The 18,535-nt window shown below is 41.5% G+C and overlaps 1 long non-coding RNA gene across 1 annotated transcript; it reads right to left on the reverse strand.

The window, feature by feature from the left end:
- Positions 1–1,765: 1,765 nt before the first annotated feature.
- On the reverse strand, positions 1,766–18,172 carry LOC124903686 (uncharacterized). Its single transcript, XR_007065062.1, has 2 exons — positions 17,798–18,172; positions 1,766–2,057 (listed from the first exon to the last, which is right to left on the reverse strand). It is a non-coding gene; the product is annotated as an uncharacterized LOC124903686 (long non-coding RNA).
- Positions 18,173–18,535: the final 363 nt, after the last annotated feature.

The following is an 18,535-nucleotide window of genomic DNA, read 5'->3' on the forward strand; positions in this document are numbered from 1 at the left end:
ATATCCAGGACAAAATTTAAACTGTATGTACCCTCTGACTCAGAAAATCTCCCTTACTAAAGTATTCATTTGTGCATTCTGAGACACATGTAAAAGAGGGCTCATTGTATCACATTTGTAATAAAAACACCACACAATGCATTTATTAAGCATTTATAATGAAGGAGAGTGTTAAATACATTAAGCATTTATTAAGAAGGAGAGTGTTAAATATATTAAGGTACGTCTGAATTATGAAATGCTTGGCAGTCCCCAAAAAAGAATGAAGCTTTGGTCTAAGCTCTGATATGGAGCAGGGCCATACAATGTTTATTTTGTTTCATGGAAAAAGTAGGTTTCATAAGAAATCCTTCATTTATTCATTCAACATCAATAAACATGATTGGCCATCTACTAATGCCAGGCCCTCTCCCAAGAATGCAACAGCGAATGACACAGACACAGTCCTTGTTCTCAAGGGGCCTATATTTGGTGTAAAAAACTCCTGGTGCCACATTCTCAGAAAATGGCTGCTTGCAGTGACTACCCCAGAATGAGATTCAAGGAAGGGCATAGAGGCACGGGGGAAGGAGGAGGGTGGCGTTTTCACTTCGTCCATTATACATTTCTATGCTGTTTGAATTATTTTTACAATGTGCATTTATCAGTTTGTAATTTTTGTAAAACCAATAGAGGAAACAAAATAAATGAATTGTGTGCACATGTGAGCACACACCATCCATAAACAGCCAGGCTGGGAGAAGACCAGGAGAGGGCAGGAGAGAATCCGCATGAGAGACCGATTCCCTGTGACCAGCAGCTGGAAGGGAATTGCTCCTGGAGGGAGCAAGTTGCTAAAGTGCTCCTTCCTCTGAGTGCTGGGACTCAGGCCCCTGGGGCCCTGCATACAGAGGAGGCAGAAACCAGCTCTCATGCCCTGTGCCCATTTTGCAATAGGAGGTAGGTTCTGCCCAAATCTGAGAGGGAAACCCTCACCTGGACTCCATCATCTTGTCCTGGCCCCATCCCTGCTTCTTCCAGGCACAGGACAACCTGTGCCCCTTGCAAAACACAGAGGTCAAGGGCTAGCAATACAGCTCATGGGCCATGGAACCCCAGGCAACTCCCTTCACCTCTCTGGGCCTCAGCATTCTCATCTATAAAATGAAGAGGCTGATGATGATAGTTGTGGTGAGGATTCAGTGAGTTAAAACATGGCAAGTCCTTAGAGGAGTGCCCAGCACACAGCAAGAGTTCAAGAAGTGTTTGGCATCCTCAGAGCTGTTGTTGTTAGTATTGCCTCCCACCAGAACTATCCTCCAACGCCATAAACAGAACAAGGTTTCTAGCTGTTTCCGCTGGGCCCCAGTGGCTTTGGGATATCATTCTCATCCAGTAAATCGGCCCTCTGCATTGGGCATCTCAGATCCAGAGGGCCTTGAAGATCCCACAGTCCAATCTCCCACTTTACAGATGCAACCACTGAGGCCCAGGGAGACCAAACTTGAGCTCCTGAAGCTCACTGCGAATATAGTGGGGAAGGTGTATGTGGGTGGATTCATCCCTCTGCCTCTGTGTTGAAAGGGGTGTTGGTAGAAAGAGAAGCTCTGAGCAAGTACTTAGTTTGATTTCTGCACCAAAGCAATCTTGCTGGGACAGGTGGATTCTAAACACCATATCCTGTAGTGTAATAACAATGCTATTAAAATTTTCCTGTGATTTAGTAATATTGTCCTGTGAATATGCTTAAATGCAAATTTCTTGCTGTTACATGAATTTACATGTATTTTATGCACTTTTAAAAACTTTTTATTTTGAAATAATTTCAGACTTAATGAGTTACAAAGATAGCAGAGTTTCTACCTACCCTTCATCCAACCTCCCCTAACATTAACGTCTTGCGTAACCACAGTACAAAGATCAAAACTAAGAAATCAACATTGATGCAATATTGGTAACTAAATTACGGACTTTTTTTTGGATTTTCTTTTCCTCTTCCAGGATCCAGTGTAGGATACCATGTGGCACGCAGTCCTTGTGGCTCCTTAATCTCTAATGTGCACTTCACATAGGCCAACCTTTTAGGACACAGGGCAAGGCAGAAAAAAAAAACGAGTCAGTCCGCAGGGGTAAATGGATATAGCCTGGCTTACCGCCCAACCTAAACTGTGTGCACTACCCTCCCAAGCCTGTCATTTTGCCATTTCTCCTCCGCCACATCATACATTTACCATAATCAGATACGGTCTTGTTTATTTATTGCTTGTTTATTGTTTACCTTCCCCCAGTATAATGGGATTTCCATGGCAAAGGGACCTGGACCATCCCATCCACTACTGTATTCATAGTCCCTGTTCACATAGTACACATAGTAGCTATTCAATAAATATTTATACATGAATAAATAAATGAATCAATCAATATTTAGAGGCCAAACCCCGTGTTGAGAAAAAACCCACAGCAGTTTTTTCTCCCTTCAGAATGCTTCTGTGGCTGGGATAATTTGTGCCATTCTAGAGTGAGAATTTCTCATGTCAGCCTCCCGCCAGCACCTCTGGTTCACCTGGCACCGCTCCTCCTCATACTCCCCATCAGCCTGGCTGAGCTGACTCCTGGAACTGCAGTGGGATTCACCTGTTGGTGCTTCTGCCATCTTTCTCAAGCTCCCATCTTCAATATCCAGCCCCGCCTGCTGCCCCTGGTGCCTCTCTGGTGTCAGCCGCCCTTCCTACCCTTGTCATTCCTCTCTGCAGGCAGGTGCACCTTGACTCCCAGGGCTCACCTATTTCTCTAGACTTATACTGTCCAACGTAGTAGCCACTGGCTAAATGTGGCTGCTAAGCACTTGCACTGTGGCCAGTCGAATTGAGATGTGCTGTGAGTGCAAAGTACACACCTGATTTCAAAGAGTTAGTAGGAAAAAGGAATATAAAAATCTTGATCACTTGATTATCATTTTAGTATTAAAATGATAACATTTGGGATGTATTGGGTTAAACAAAATATATCATTAAAATTAATTTCACCTGTTTGTTTTTACTTTTTAAAGATAGCTACTCGAAAACTTAAAATCACATATGTGACTCACATTATATTTCTATTGGACAGCTCTGCTGCAGACAGAATGTCTCCACAACCATCCATTTCATTTGCTATAAAAGCCACAGAACTGGCACTGAGCCTGGCATGTAGTAGATGCTCAATAAATACCTGTTGAATAAAGGAGCATTTCCTACTGAGAGTCTTTTCCCCAGGAAGATCGTGAGTTCTTGGAGAACAAGATAGAGACCCTTCTGTCTCTTCCACAGGCTAAGCATAGAGTGAAAGTTGTGTAGGGTACACTTTTGCTGAATGAAGGTGATTTGGGAGGTTGAAGCGTCACTGAGGCTCCAGAAATAAAACCTAGCAGGGCCTGATGTGGGATACAGGTAGGGAAGTCAAAGTGCCAGATTGGAAAATAAATGGTGCTACTTTTCTAATACAAATAACCTGCTCAAGAGTCTTTAGAAGAAGACAGGACTCTTAAAGAAGAAACACAGGACCCTGGCAACCTGTTTTGCTCAGCTAAGAAGGTTGCTACATGCCAGTTTTCTTGACAGGAAGATGCTAGGATCTGCTGGCTCTGCACATTTTTACCTGACCATGGGGGAGAATATGTAACCTTTTCTGCTACAGGAGGCTGTGAAAGGAAGAGATATCTGCCTCTCCCCAGAGGCAATGCTTGAGCCAGACACTGTCATGAGCACTTGAAGACTGTTCTTTCATAAATCGCTTTATGCCTCTGTGGGGTAGGTTATCATCAACTCTGTTTTACTGATGAGAAAAAGGAAGCTCAGAGAGGTGAAGTAACTTAGCTGAAGTTTCAGAGGGATGGTAGCAGAGTCAGCACCAGAACCATGTTCTTGACACTTTATCCAGTGCTCAGTCAATTGTATCACACTGCCTGCATATCTAAAATGAAGGATGGGGAAAGGGAGGCAGAGAGGGAGAGGGCGGAGATGGGTGGAGAGGGAGGGTTAGGCAGAGAGAGAAAGGAAGAGAGCTCTGGGGTCTGTAATTAGTTCGTTCGTTTAGGTCTTTGATGATAGAATTTTTCAAAGCAGTGTAGGTGGACTCTCTTTCTGAGCATAGTTGTGTGATGGAAGTCCAGTTATAGAATTCTAAAATCAACACCCATAGCTGCCTCTGTCTCTATCCAATCACTGGCTGAGTCCCCGAGGACAGTATTTCCCAGTTCCATGTGTGCCTCCTCCCTCTGTAAGATGGAGAATTGAGATGCTGGGAACCTTCATGTCACCCAGTACACATAAAACAACTCCACCACTAGCTGTTTGACCTTGGGCAGGGCACTGTATCAGTCAGTTATAGCTGTGTAACAAATTGCCCCTAAATATATGCCCACTCACATATGTGCACATTGCTAGAGTGCTCCCACTTCACTGGTCTCAGCCCAGGCCCCAGACTGAAGGGTCATTGGCCACCCAGGGCATATTCTTCTCATGTTATGGCCAGAGTGCAAGTGGGTAATACCCACCACTCAAACATACCTCAAGAATCCACTATCATTGGCCAAAGCAAGACATGGCCCAGCCCAAAGTCAAGGAGTGGGGAAGTTTATTCCTCCCATAAAGATTGATTGAATAATGTAGGTGAGAGGAAACATTTTTCAAGAATAATCTAATGTGCCATGTTCATTCACTGATCTGGGCCTCAATGACTGTTGGTTTCAATGACTATTTGGTCAAGGAGTGGAAACACATACCATGCTTAAAAGACAATACTGGGTATGTTCTTGATTTTTGAAGTAAGGATATAGCAGATATCTATTACATCCTAGTTCATTATTTCCTTGATTTGAGTATTCCAAAAGTCAAACTGTATCTCTAAATGGAACAACTACATTTGATCTGATGCAATCAGCCCATGTATAAATCCCATTTCTCATTACCAAGCTGGCAGTATTTCCATTGCATGACTATAGAAATGTACCTATAGCAGTGAGAGCAGGTTTTTTCCAATTGTAGTTTTCTCCCTGCATGAATTATTAATGACAAAGGGTCTCCTTATAAATCTACTCACTTTTCTGTGGCCTTCCCAAATTTCAGAGCTTGCTACTTTTCTAATTTGCCCTTAAATGCAGCAAACCCTCTTTCCTAAGAGGGTTGCAAGAAGGATTGTTGCATTTAAGGGCAATTTAGTTGGGTGTGTTTATCAACAAAGTAATTATAACTATTTAGGCACCAGTTATGCACAAGGCACTGTGGCAGGAAAGTGAAAACAGACTGAAGGGTGAGAGACAGCTTATATTCAAATGCTGCTTACAGTCTGGTTGGAAAGTTGAGATACTCACTCACATTGACATAGACTAGCCATTTCACTGAAAATATCACCTTAAATTTCACAGCTGAGACTATGGCATAGCATGTTTTTGAGCATGTTTCTCAAACCTGACCTCTATAGCTTGGTTCTCAGGGGCAAATTTGAAATGTCAGTTTTCTGAAATGATAGCTCTCAGATCTCTGATCAACAATATGTAGGCTGCTCTAGCACTCCTTTCAGCTGAATTTCTCATCTCGTAAAGGATATTTTTTAATCAGTTTATGGGGGAAGGCTAATTTTGTTTGATAAAAGAAAAATGGAGGCACTCGATGATACACATTCATCTTGCTTTCAGTTCATGTTTCATGACGGATTTCCATCGCATCTGACGCTCTCACATTAACAAATCTTCGGATACATCATTTTGGAGTTAAGACAATAATTTGCCTGCAAATTTGACAAAAAATTTGGTAATGCTGAAGATCCATCATACAGATATAATTTGCTACTCTTGTGATCATTTTCAGTAAAATGATCCAATTAGATGCCACATAGCCTGTCATTAGGTTCTCTCCCTCAGCCAGCTGAAAAGGGAAAATAGAGTCATGTTATCAGTAAATAGCTAAAAGTTTGCTTTGTGCAACTTGAAGTCTGATTCTGACAATGTATTCCAGGGACATCAAGCTCCAAACCCTATTTACTCAACAAATACATGTTAAGCACGAGCACTCTGCAAGACACTGTGCTAGGTATGAAGAGGAGGAGGATCTACACCAAAAGTGTAAGACTTTTGGATCCAGACTCATGTTGACACAAATGACTAAGGTGAGTACAGGAAAGCTGGGCAAATGGGAGGCTGCGTGCCCCGCCTACTCAAGTCCAGTCACCTGTTACCTGGTGCAAAAGCATGAATGACGGGTGGAGCCAGATCATCTGAACTTTTACAAGAAGTCAGAAACCTGGGCATTTGGTGAAATCTTATTATTTGAAGCACCTGTCTATTGGCCTATGGGCTGCTAATTTAGACCTCTACACAGTAGGATTCTGGCCTTCAAGACACTTCTGGTCTAGCAGAGAAGGCAACAGTGGACACTGGCCACTTTGACACAAGGCAGAGTAAGATTAGTGCTGTGATAGACACAGCCCCAAAACAAAGAAGCAATATGGAAAGAGAGACTTCAATGCTAAGTCTCAGCAAGGGCCTTCTCACATGAGACACCTCTAGGCCCCGTGCACTATTTCCTTCGAAGACCCCACCCCAAGACATAGTAATCATATTAAAATACATCCAGTGCCCAAATTAACTAAATGTTTTGTTCTCAAAAACATTTTTATGATTTTGTTTTTTAAATATTGTTATTTGGATTCTGCAATTTTCGTATTTTGGAGTTGATTATTCCTACCTCCTTCACTGCAGGTCCCAAACATTGGCACAGGCTCCTGAAAATCCTATGAGGCCTAATTGCCTTGATAAATGACAATGTTTCCCCCAGCAGAGGGGAAGCTGAAGGGTTTTACAGAAAGAATAAACAGGAGAGAAGGTTCAGGATCAGTCTGGAAAGGATGAAGCCTTCAGCTCTTGACAAAGGCAGGTCAGAGAGGGGTCTGGAAAGATAGGTAGTAAACAAATTTTGGAAACTAGATGTGGATTTTAGAGTCTTCTCCAGGCCATGAGGAGCCACTGATAGTTTCTGAGAGAAGCCCGACCTGTCTAGAATATTGTTAGATGGGACTTGTCTGGAAAAACTTCAAGGAGGTAAATCTAAAACTTGGCTTTGACAAACAAAACTCAGGGCTGAGCTTGGTGTAGAACTCACATACTGTCTGCATTGACTCTACTCTTCTTTCTCTTGATTTTTTTTCTGGCCACTTTTCTTTTCAAGACTCCTTTCCCTGCCTCCAAGATCCCCAGAACCACATTCTACCCCTGCTGCCTGGTCTTCAGCAGTCCTGGTGCTGGTGTGGCTCTCTCTGGCCTTCTTAGTCCACTTTTCATTCATTATTAAATGTGCTTTCTCCCAAACACACTTCCGTATGGTTCACAATATAACTTCTCTTTCTACCATAGAAAGGAATTACTTTATAGAACTGTAATGCTGAAAAAGACATTACAGGCCAACCACCCTTTATTTCCCTTAAGTTTACAGGAAAGGAAATTGGCTTAGAGAGGTAAAATGACTTGCCTAAGGTCACCAGAATCAGAGCCAGAGTTGAAACAAGAATCCGTGTCATCTGATTCAAACAATTCTGCTTCTCTGCACCAGGCCACATCCTGTGGGCATAACCTGAAAGTTAAATGGACAACTATGCAAAGGTATGACCATTCAGACACTAAAAAGAGACACAACTATTCTCTGAATTAAGATTGGTGTCCTTGGCAAAAAGAAAAAAAAATTACATCCCATGTTTATAAATTCCAAGAATAAATATTATGAAAATAATTATACTACCAAACGCAATCTACAGATTCAATGCAATCCCTATCAAAATACTAACGATATTCTTTACAGAAATAGCAAACACTATTCTAAAATTCATACGGAAACAGAAAAGATCCCAAATAGCCAAAGCAATCCTGAGCAAAAAGAACAAAGCTGGAGGCATCACATTACCTGACTTCAAAATTCACCCCAAAGCTATGGTAACCAAAACAGTGTGATATTGGTATAAAAACAGACACATAGACCAATGGAGCAGAATAGAGAACCCAGAAATAAATCCATGTATTTACAGCCAATTGATTTTCAACAAAGGTGCTAAGAACATCCACTGGGGAAAGGGCAGTCTTTTCAATAAATGATACCAGGAAAACTGGACATCTAGATGCAGAATAATGAAACTAGACTCCTTTCTCTCACTATATACAAAAAGCAAATCAAAATGGACTAAACTTAAATGTAAGACTTGAAACTATGAACTAACTAGAAGAAAACACAGAGAAAATGTTCTAGGACATTGGTCTGGGCAAAGGTCTTATGAAAAAGACCTCAAGAGCACAGGCAACAAAAGAAAAAATAGATGAGTGGGATTACATTAAACTAAAAAAGCTTCTTCACAGCAAAGGAAACAATCAACAGTGTGAAGGGACAACAGTAGAATGGGAGATGATATTCACAAATGATTCATCTGACAAGGGATTAAAATCCAGAACTCAAACAACTCAATAGAAAAAACAAATAATCTGATTTAAAAATGGGCAAATGAGCTGAATAGACTTCTATCAATAGAAGACATACAAATGGCCAACAGATGTGTTAAAAAATGCTCAACATCACTAATAGTCAGGTAAATGCAAACCAAAACCACTATGAGACATCATCTCACCCCAATTAGAATGGCCATTCTCAAAAACACAAACAAATAACAAATGCTGCTGAGGATACAGACAAAAAGGAACTCTTACACGGTGTTGGTGGGAATGTAAATTAGTTAGCACAGCTATTATGGAAATGGTATGCAGGGTCCTCACACACTAAAAATAGAACTATTATATGATCCAGCAGTCCTATTTCTAGGTGTATATCCAAAGGAAAGGAAATCAGTACGTCAAGGAGTTCTCTGCACTCCCATGTTTGTTACAGCACTGCTGACAGTGGCCAAGATATAGAATCGACCTAAGTGCCCATCAACAGGTGAATGAATAATGTGGTATATATACACAATGGAATACTATTCAGCCATAAAAATAATGAAATCCTGTCATTCATGGCAACACAGGTGAACCTTTATTCACGATGTTAAGTGAAACAAACCAGGAAAGACAAATGCTGCATATTCTCACTCCTTTGCGGAAGCCAAAAAAGTTGATCTCGTAAAAGTAGAGAGTAGAATACTGGTTACCAGAGGTTGGGAAGTGGCAGAGGTGTAGCTAAACATTGGTTAACAGATACAAAATTACAGCTAGATAGGAGAAAAAGTTCTAGTGTTCTATAGCGTTGTCGTGTGACTATAGTTAACAACAGTTTATTGTTTTCTTTCAAATAACTACAAGAGCAGATTCTGAATGTTCCAAACACAAAAAAGATTAATATTTGAAGTGACAGAGATACTAATTACCTTGATTTGATCATTACATATTGTATACATGTATTGAAATGTCATACTCTACCCCATAAATATATACAATTATTATGTATCAGTTAAAAAATAATAATAAAAGAGGGAAAAGATTGCTGTCCTTCAACCTAAAAATACTTCTGGGCATGGGACCCCATGGTTTGTGGACAGACCAGGTTGTCCTGGTGCCAATTAGACATCCATGGAATACACAGTGTGTGATTTACTTTCCCTTTTCAACTAAGAGTGAATGAAATAAAATTTGGGGCTGGTGAGCCACCCTTTTTGTAATCCTCTGAGAGAAAATGTGAGAAAACGTCTGGCCTGGAAATAACCATTTTTAAAGCCCTTTTTAAAAGCCCACTCTTGGAAAAATAGTGATGTCAACCAGCCACTTCCTAGCCTTCTATGCTTTTTCCCACCATTTTAATGAAGAGGGCTTCCCAGACATCATGAATTTTGCATGAAATCCTCATTTCTCTTTAAAGAGATTTAGTGCCAAAACCTTCTGTGACAACCAAAACCCATGTTTGAGTTATATTGTTAATGTCAATATAACTCACAGTGATGTGTTGTGTTGTGGAGACAGTGGGCAAAATAGCCATAAATTCCATCCTAAGTGTACCATCTCCCCAACGTTTCTGGCATTGTCTGCTGGACTGTCATGACATCTCTTCCTACAGACCCCCAGGAAGGGCAACATCACTTCCTGGCTCCGAAGCCTCAACCTGATGCTTTAATAATAGATCCTGATTGTCCTATCAAAACTACAATCCCTTCGACATTCATTTAATCTCTTCCTTTTGAGGTCATTTCCTAAAACATGAAAATCACTGCTCAGTTTTGTCCTTTTCCTTCCTATTTTTGAAGATGTCATTGTTTCTGCTGAGACCAGCACCAAGGGCGCTAGATGATAAAGGCAGCTTGCAGGGAAGGTTTCCTTGGGCACAGGGCCCTAGATTCTCACCCTGAATTGGATTTCAGGTAGTCCCACTCGGAGAAGTTGTTAGCTCACTTCCCGGCTGCCTCTTCATTTCTTTGCAATGCCAACAAACCTACTGCAAACACAATGAAAATTCTTCCCTCGTTTGAATCTGTGCTTACAATCTCTAATTAAGTAATAACTTTCATAGCACTCTGCTTCTCCAAGCCTGAACGGTATTTCCATTACCTCCTCTACTGAAGTCAAAATTACAGACCTGTCATTTTTGGATTTTTCTAAAAAACGCAAGCATTAAATTATACCTACATTCACCCATTAGTAATTTCTCTTCGTGGTGGGTGTTTAAATCTATTATAATGACTCTACTATCTCTTCAACTTTCTATCCCTCTCAGAATATTGATGAATTCTACCTCATTCTGGACTGCCTGTCTAATTTTGTCTTTTAATTTCTTGATGAAACATGAATTTGATTTTATAAAGTTCTTTTTTCTTTCTCTTTGGGAAAGGAAAAGAGAAACATCTTTCTGATGTGGAGTTACTATTCCTCTTTAAGGGTGAAAAACTGATAGAAGAGGAATTACCTTTTAGGTTTCAAATTGTCTTTGAGCAGAAGTGACTCTTCAGTCGCAGACAGATTGGGTCCCTTGTTCTGGGGTGTGTAATCATTTTTTGCCACTCACTCACACTTTGATGAAAATACAAGTTTTGTGTGCTTTATATGTATTGATTCTTTTAATCCTCATAGCATCCTTACAAGGTAGTGTATTAGGCAGTTCTTGCATTGCTATAAAGATATACCTGAGCCTGAGTAATTTGTAAAGAAAAGAGGTTTAATTGGCTCGTGATTCCGCGGCTTTACAAGAAGCATGGTGCTGGCATCTGCTCAGCTTCTGGGGGGGCTTCAGGAAAGTTACAATCATGGCAGAAGGTGAAGGGGGAGCAGGCATGTCACATGGCCAAGCAGGAGCAAGAAAGAGAGTGGGGAGAGGTGCCACACACTTTCTTTTCTTTTTTTTTTTTAGATGGAGTCTCAGTCTGTTGTCCAGGCTAGAGTGCGATGGCACCATCCCGGCTCACTGCAACCTCTGCATCCTGGGTTCAAATGATTCTCCTCCCTCCTGCCTCAGCCTCCCGGGTAGCTGAGATTACAGGTGCCCACCACCATGCCCAGCTAATTTTTATATTTTTAGTAGAGACGGGGTTTCACCATGTTGGCCAGGCTGGCCTCAAACTCCTGATCTCAGGTGATCCACCTGCCTCGGCCTCCCAAAGTACTGGGATTACAGGTGTGAGCTACCGTGCCCGGCCTTTTTTTTTTTTTAGACAGAGTCTCACACTGTCACCCAGGCTGGAGTCCAGTGGTGTGATCTCTGCTCACTGAAAACTCCACCTCCTGGATTCAAACAATTCTCCTGTCTCAGCCTCCCGAGTAGCTTGGATTGTAGGTGTGCGCCACCACATCCAGCCATGCCACACACTTTCAAACCACCAGATCACGTGTGAATTCAGAGCTAAAGCTCACTTATTACTGAGGGATGGCCCAAGCCTTTCATGAGGACTCTGGCCCCATAATCCAAACACCTCCCACAAGGCTCCACCTCCAATATTGAGGATTACATTTCAACATGCGATTTGGGTGGAGACAAATATCCGAACTATATCAGATAGGTTCTATTATTGTTCCCACTTTATAGATGAGGACACTGAGACAGAGAGGCTAATGAACCTTCTGAAGATTGCACAGTGAGCCAGTGTCAGATGCAGATTGAACCCAAGTTGTAGTTTGGCTCCAAAGTCCACATCTGTCAAGCTTTTTTGAGTCACAAGTAACAGAAGCTCAACTCAAAATAGGCAGAAAGGAGGATTTGTTTCCAAACCTTGAAAAGAACGGGAAGTCTCTCTGAAACTATTGAAGCTGGAAACTTGAGTGACCTCGGGACTTTATCTGTGATCTCTTTGTGTCCCCCAGAACCCTGAGGCTGGCTTCTTCCTGAAGGCTGAAGTCAGGGTCACCAATTACTCTTTAGCTGACCCTCCCAGCCTTACATTGAAAATGAGGCTCTTGCTCCCAAGCTCCAATTAACAAAGAAATAGAAAAAGAAAGAGAAAAACAGGAAAGAACAGGTTGCATGCCCAGGGGCTGGATCAACCACTATGGCCAGGAGGATGAAGTATTAGGATTGGTTCAGCCTGGGTTAATTGCCTGTCCTTAAATAAGTTATTGTGGAGGAGATAAAGTAGCCTCCAGCAAATCACATTTTAAAGTCATGAAATTTAAATAATAATAATAATAATAATAATAATTATTATTATTATTATTATTCCCTAAAAGATGGAGGATGGCACAGCTTTGCCACTGGAGTAATTACTGCAAGCTGAACAGCCACCCTGAAGAAATAGAAAACTCAGAGAAAAACAAAGGGTAAGATAATGACTGTTCCTGAAGCAAATGAACAGGTGCACAGATTCGGCGACACCAGACCTTCAGGTCAACTGTCAGCCAGTGCTGAGGACTGGGATCCCCCTGCAGGTGGGACAGCGACAGTCCACTTTGCCAAAGTTCCCATACGGCCTGCTTTGCTCATTTATGTCACCTGCCTGGCCCCCACAGGCATCTGAGTTTGAGACCTGTGGCTTAGTGTGTTGCCAAATAGCACAGTCAATCATTGGGAAGACCAACTAGAGCGTCCGTTTCCTCCTTCACATTTGGCCAACAGCCAGTGAATGCTTCGAAGACAAAATAGCCAAGACAAAGGATCCAGTCATTAAAAACAGAGTTTTCTTGACAGAATGGCTTATGGCATTTGACAGAATTTTTCAAGGCGCAGAAAAACACATTTGACAGCATGTGTTTTAAGCAGAGATGCGTATATGACACGTAAAAAGTCAATCACTGCCAGCCTTTATGTGGGGAGAGATCGGGAAGGGAGCGAGAGGGGCTTCATTTCTTCCTCCTTCCTTCTTTCCACCCAGAGCCTCAGTCTGCCCTCTGTAGATGGTTGTATGAAATAGGCAAACCCATTTCTCTCCTGTGCCCATTAATTTCCAGACGTTCCCTTTGTGCTAGTGCCCAGCGGCTCCTGGAAAGCCTCAGGCTCCACAAACTCCAAGCTTTTCCCACTGTGGCCTGAGAGATTCTTTCCTGCATAAGGCAGGAGATGATTTTTGGCAAGAGGCCTGCTGAAAGCTTTCTAGAACTCAAAGAAAAGATTGTGTTTGTAAAGTAGCCTCTGGAAAATCATGAAGTCATGAAATAAGAAAAACCCAACAATTTCCTAAAAAATAGGGGATGGCACAGCTTTGCCACTGGAGTAATTACTGCAAGCTGAATAGCAACCCTGAAGAAATAGAAAACTCAGAAAAATAAAGGGCAAGATAATGATTGTTCCTGAGGCAAATGAATAGGTGCACAGATTTGGTGACACCAGACCTGCAGGTGAACAGTCAGCTAGGTGAGGACTGGGTCTCCCTGTAGGTGGGATGGGGACCGTCTGTTGGGACAGGGGGGGTGGTGGTGCAAACACAGGATGAGAGTTTTAAATTACACAGTCAGTCTTTATTTTTCTCCACATCTGAAGCTGCCAAAATATAAACAGCCACTGTAAAGAGGAGAGGGCAGTGACCCTGAGCTGGGAAGTGGAAGGCGAGGAAGCAGGAGGTGGTCACTGAGGAAAAGACATCATGCCAGTCAAGCAAAAATGGCTCTCTCCATTCCCATTTCACTGAGTGCCCATGAGAAGATGAGTCTCTTGCCTCTTTTTATGGGATTATTGGTTCCATTATGGTATTTGAGGTGGAGAGCAGACTTGGCTGCCAGTGACTGTCTGTTTCCTTCAGCTGTCCCTTTCAGAATAACAACCCATATTTATGCAGTGAATTCAGTTTTCCTGACCGTTTTTGCTGCCCTTCTGGGCATCATTGTTCTCCCTATGCCTTGTGTAATCATCCCACTACAATTCTAAATGATTTCAGTGTTTATTTGTATGTTTTCCCCTCATTTTGTTGAGAAAGAAGAAAACAGTTTGTTGCTCCCTTGTTGCACCCCTACAAAATCTTAGCTTCAGCTTGTATTAGACTAAGATCATCTTGCTCAACTCCTCATTGTGCTGATTTTCTAAAGGCAAAAAGTATTGCCTATATCAAATCCAGCTATTGGCCAAAGGTAAGTGAGAATGAGTTTCAACTTTCTTTTTTTAAAAAAATTTATATAACTTGTGCTCAAGGTAATCCTTAATCTAACAGCAATTGTCTCTCACACCAGATTAATTCATCCATTCATCCACTATCCATCCATTGACCCACCATAAATCCATCCATCCATCTATCCATTAATTCCACCATCCATCTATTCATCATCCATCCATTCATCCATTAATCCATCATCCATCCACCCATTCACCATCAATCCATTCACCATCCATCCATCAATTCATCCATCCTTCTATCCACTGATTCCACCATCCATCCATTGATCCACCATTCATCCATTGATCCACCATCCAGCCATCCATTCACCACCCATCCATCCATCTATCCATTGATTCCACCATCTTTCCATTGATCCCCCATCCATCCATCCATCCACCATCCATCCAACCACCCATTCACCATCCATCCATCCACCCATTCACCATCCATCCATCCAGCCATCCATTCACCATCCATCATCCATCCATCCATTCATCATCCATCCATCCATTCATCATCCATCCATCCATCCATCCATTCACCATCCATCCATCTATTCATCACCCACCCATCATCCATTCATTGATATACGTCCATCCATTCACCATCCATCATCCATCCATTGATCCACCATACACCCATTTATCCACCATCCATTCATTCACCATTCAATCATTCATCATCCATTTACCATCCATCCATCCAACATCCATTGATCCACCATACATCCATTTATCCACCATCCATTCATTCACCATTCAATCATTTATCATCCATTTACCATCCATCCATCCATCCATCCAACAACCAAACATCATCCATCCATCCATCCATACATTTCATGCATTCGGCATTTTGTTGAGTGACTGCTGTGTGCCACTCATGAACAGAATCTTTGCTTTTTTCAACTGCAAGTAATATTTATTCAGGTAAAAATATCAGATCAAAACACCGTCTCTTTGACATTTACATTCATCCCAGTGACAATATGGGATCAGCTGCATCACAAAACATAGCTACTCTGCCGAAATCAGTTTTTAAAACAACCAAAGAAGCAATTTGACTAGGCAATCATTAAGTGTATAACTGGGCTTAATTAGATTTTTCTGCAGAGTATTATGCTGAAATCTTTAAAAGTAATTTTTACTTGTGGAGGTAAAGTATGACTATGTGTCTTTTAAAAAGAAGAACAAAAGGAAGGAAAAGAGAGAGAGATAGAGGATAGAGGTGAGAACATCACAAATGTCTCTTTGCTAAGATCCTTTTTCTCCCTAGGCCTAACCATGTTCCCGTCCTTTTGCCTAAGGCCACCATTGTTATGCGGCAGGATATAAAGACCTTTTTATATGCATTTATATGCTTATTTACAGTGTAATTTATATTAAAATACACACAAAATAATGCCCCATATTTCTCCATGGGTAATTATATATACATGCATTCCCTGATATTTTTCTGGCAAGCAATTTCAGAAGTTTCCCATGGTTTTAGTAGGAATGGACAGAGAATGTGGATCATTTGTTCCCTGCTTTACAGCTTAAATCTAAAGTCCCTGGTTAAACATCAGTGCTTTGGTGGCAGCAATGTCTGGGCTTGGGGCAGAATGATGGCATAAATTTTTAGAAATGTATTTTTTCCAGATCAATTAAAATTTAAAACCGCCCGCTTTTATAGAGGGTACCACATTATCAATTTTCTCCAGTGTTTTTTCTTAGTAAGGGCTGGGAATTAGGAAAAGCAGTGTATTACCACTCTGACTTTCACAGACCTAGCCTTTTCCCAAAACCCACTTGCTCTTCGTTCACTCTCCCTGAATTAAGAGTAGAGAAATTGCCACCTGGGGAAAAATATCTTGAAGAAGCAAGAGTCTTAAAGCATGGGGCTGTCACTATATCAAGCCCAAACTGGAGGTGGTCGTGGCATAAAAACAGGGCCTTAAGTCACAATGTTAGGCTTGCTGTCACTCTAACAGGAAACTTTCTGTGCAGCTGCTCCGCCGCATCATTAATTCATTGCCTGTTTCCTTTATGCTGCACTCTGGCAGCACCGATCATAATACATTCATTTGCTTTTAACACAGAGATTTCATTCTTACCCCTTCTGCCCCAACTTTATCCCCAGCTCTGCTCCCCAGCATAGATCAGTGAACCCCAAATGTCATACTGTAACAATGACACCACCATCCATTAGTAGACGGAGGAACTCCCAAATTGGAAATGTTTAAACTTAAAAAATATGTGTCTGAGTTATAAGTCAGCAGGATTTCTAGATATATTCAAATAGTCTACGTAAACATGAATAATTATGCATGTTACCTAAGAATCCATGTTAAATTATTCATTCATATAGCAGATTTTCCAATTAACCCAGAGTTCTCTTCTATTGGATGAATGCTTTTTTTGAGAGTAATGATTATATTTTTAATAGTTTGTGTTTATTATAAAGATTTTAAGCAATGCCAAATCTATGAGGAAGAAAGTAAAAGAGTTACCCTGAATCTAGCCCCCAGAAATAGATATCATTAAATAATGTGACACTTTAAAAGTTGCAAGAATATCACTCCAAACACCTCTTTCTCTCTTGCATATATACAGATAGGAGGGCAGATGAATCAACTAAAATACATTTCTCTGAAGTAGGTGATGCATACTATTTTAAAAAATAAATGTAATTTAATTTTACTTGAATTTAGAAAAAAATGGTTATTAAACTGAAAATATTTATGAATTTCAAGTAAAATTTTCTAAACCACCAGAGGTATTAATTGCTAAAAGATTGCTCTTAGCTTAAAATGCTAATGAGCTGGGCATGGTGGATCATACCTGTAATCCCAGCACTTTGGGAGGCTGATTTGGATTGATTGCTTGAGCCCAGGAGTTCGAGACTAGCCTGAGCAACATGGAGAAACTCTAACTCTACAAAATACAATAAAATTAGCCAGACAGGGTGGTGCATGCCTGTAGTCCCAGCTAGTCGGGAGGCCGAGATGGGAGGATCCCTTGAGCTTGGGAGGTCAAGGCTGCAGTGAGCCATGATGGCACCACTGTACTCCAGCCTGGGCAACAGAGCAAAATCTCGTCTCAAAAAATAATAAAAATAAAAATAAATAATACGTTAATGACAATGAAAACTGGAAAAGGTTGAAGTCACATTTTTAGCTATGTATATCAATTTAAAATAATATTTATACACTTTATTCTATGGAAGATATGGAAATTAGCACTACCTCTCTGTATTTTTGTTAGTTTTTTTAAGTTTTCAAGATTTACGACATTCACAGGTTAGTCTGTGATTATAATTTCCAACTTACTTAGTCCTGGTTGATATTTGTGTGGCTCCAATGCTCAGAACCTGCCCCTTTCCTGTGGTTTCTCCACCATTAGTTCTTTATCTGGACTCCTCTTTTAAGTGGCTGAATTTTGTTGTTGGGTGATTTTTTCAAAAGGACTCAGGAGTGTTGCTTTTCCATGGTTCTCTCCTGTGGAGAATCTCTGCTACTGTGACATCAGAAGGACATGGTATTGGAAGGCAATAGATTGGGAAGGTGCGTAACATCCAGCCCCTGTGACCAGAGAGGACAGATGTGCTGCCAGCTTCTTAGCCTGCTGGGTTGCAGGGGTCCAAATGTAGCTGCATTTAGGAGGAGGAGAAGGAGGTGGAGGATGGGGAGAGAGAGGGAAGAGGAGGGGAAGCAGGAGGAGGGAGTGGAGAGGGAGGGAATGGAGGAGTAGGGGGAAGAGAGAAAGGGGAGGAGGGAGAGGGAAAGAAGGAGGAGAAGCAGGAGGAGGGAGAGGAAGGGGAGAAAGAGGAGGAAGAAGAGGAGAAGGGAAAGGAACAGGAGGAAGGAAAGGGGAAGGAGGACGAAGGGAAGGAGAGAAAAGAGGAGGGAGAGTGGGACCATGTGTTAGGGTGGGCACTGACTCCGCAGGAGAAAAGGATCCCCTGGACTGGTCCTTCGTGGGTGCCAGAAAAAGGCTGCCCACCAGAAGTTCACCCCCACATTCGTCCCAGCTCTTGGAGCAGCTGCACATAGAATGCAAAGGAGAAG

The sequence above is a fragment of the Homo sapiens genome, chromosome 16 (assembly GCF_000001405.40).
Source record: "Homo sapiens chromosome 16, GRCh38.p14 Primary Assembly".
Classification (NCBI taxonomy): domain Eukaryota; kingdom Metazoa; phylum Chordata; class Mammalia; order Primates; family Hominidae; genus Homo; species Homo sapiens.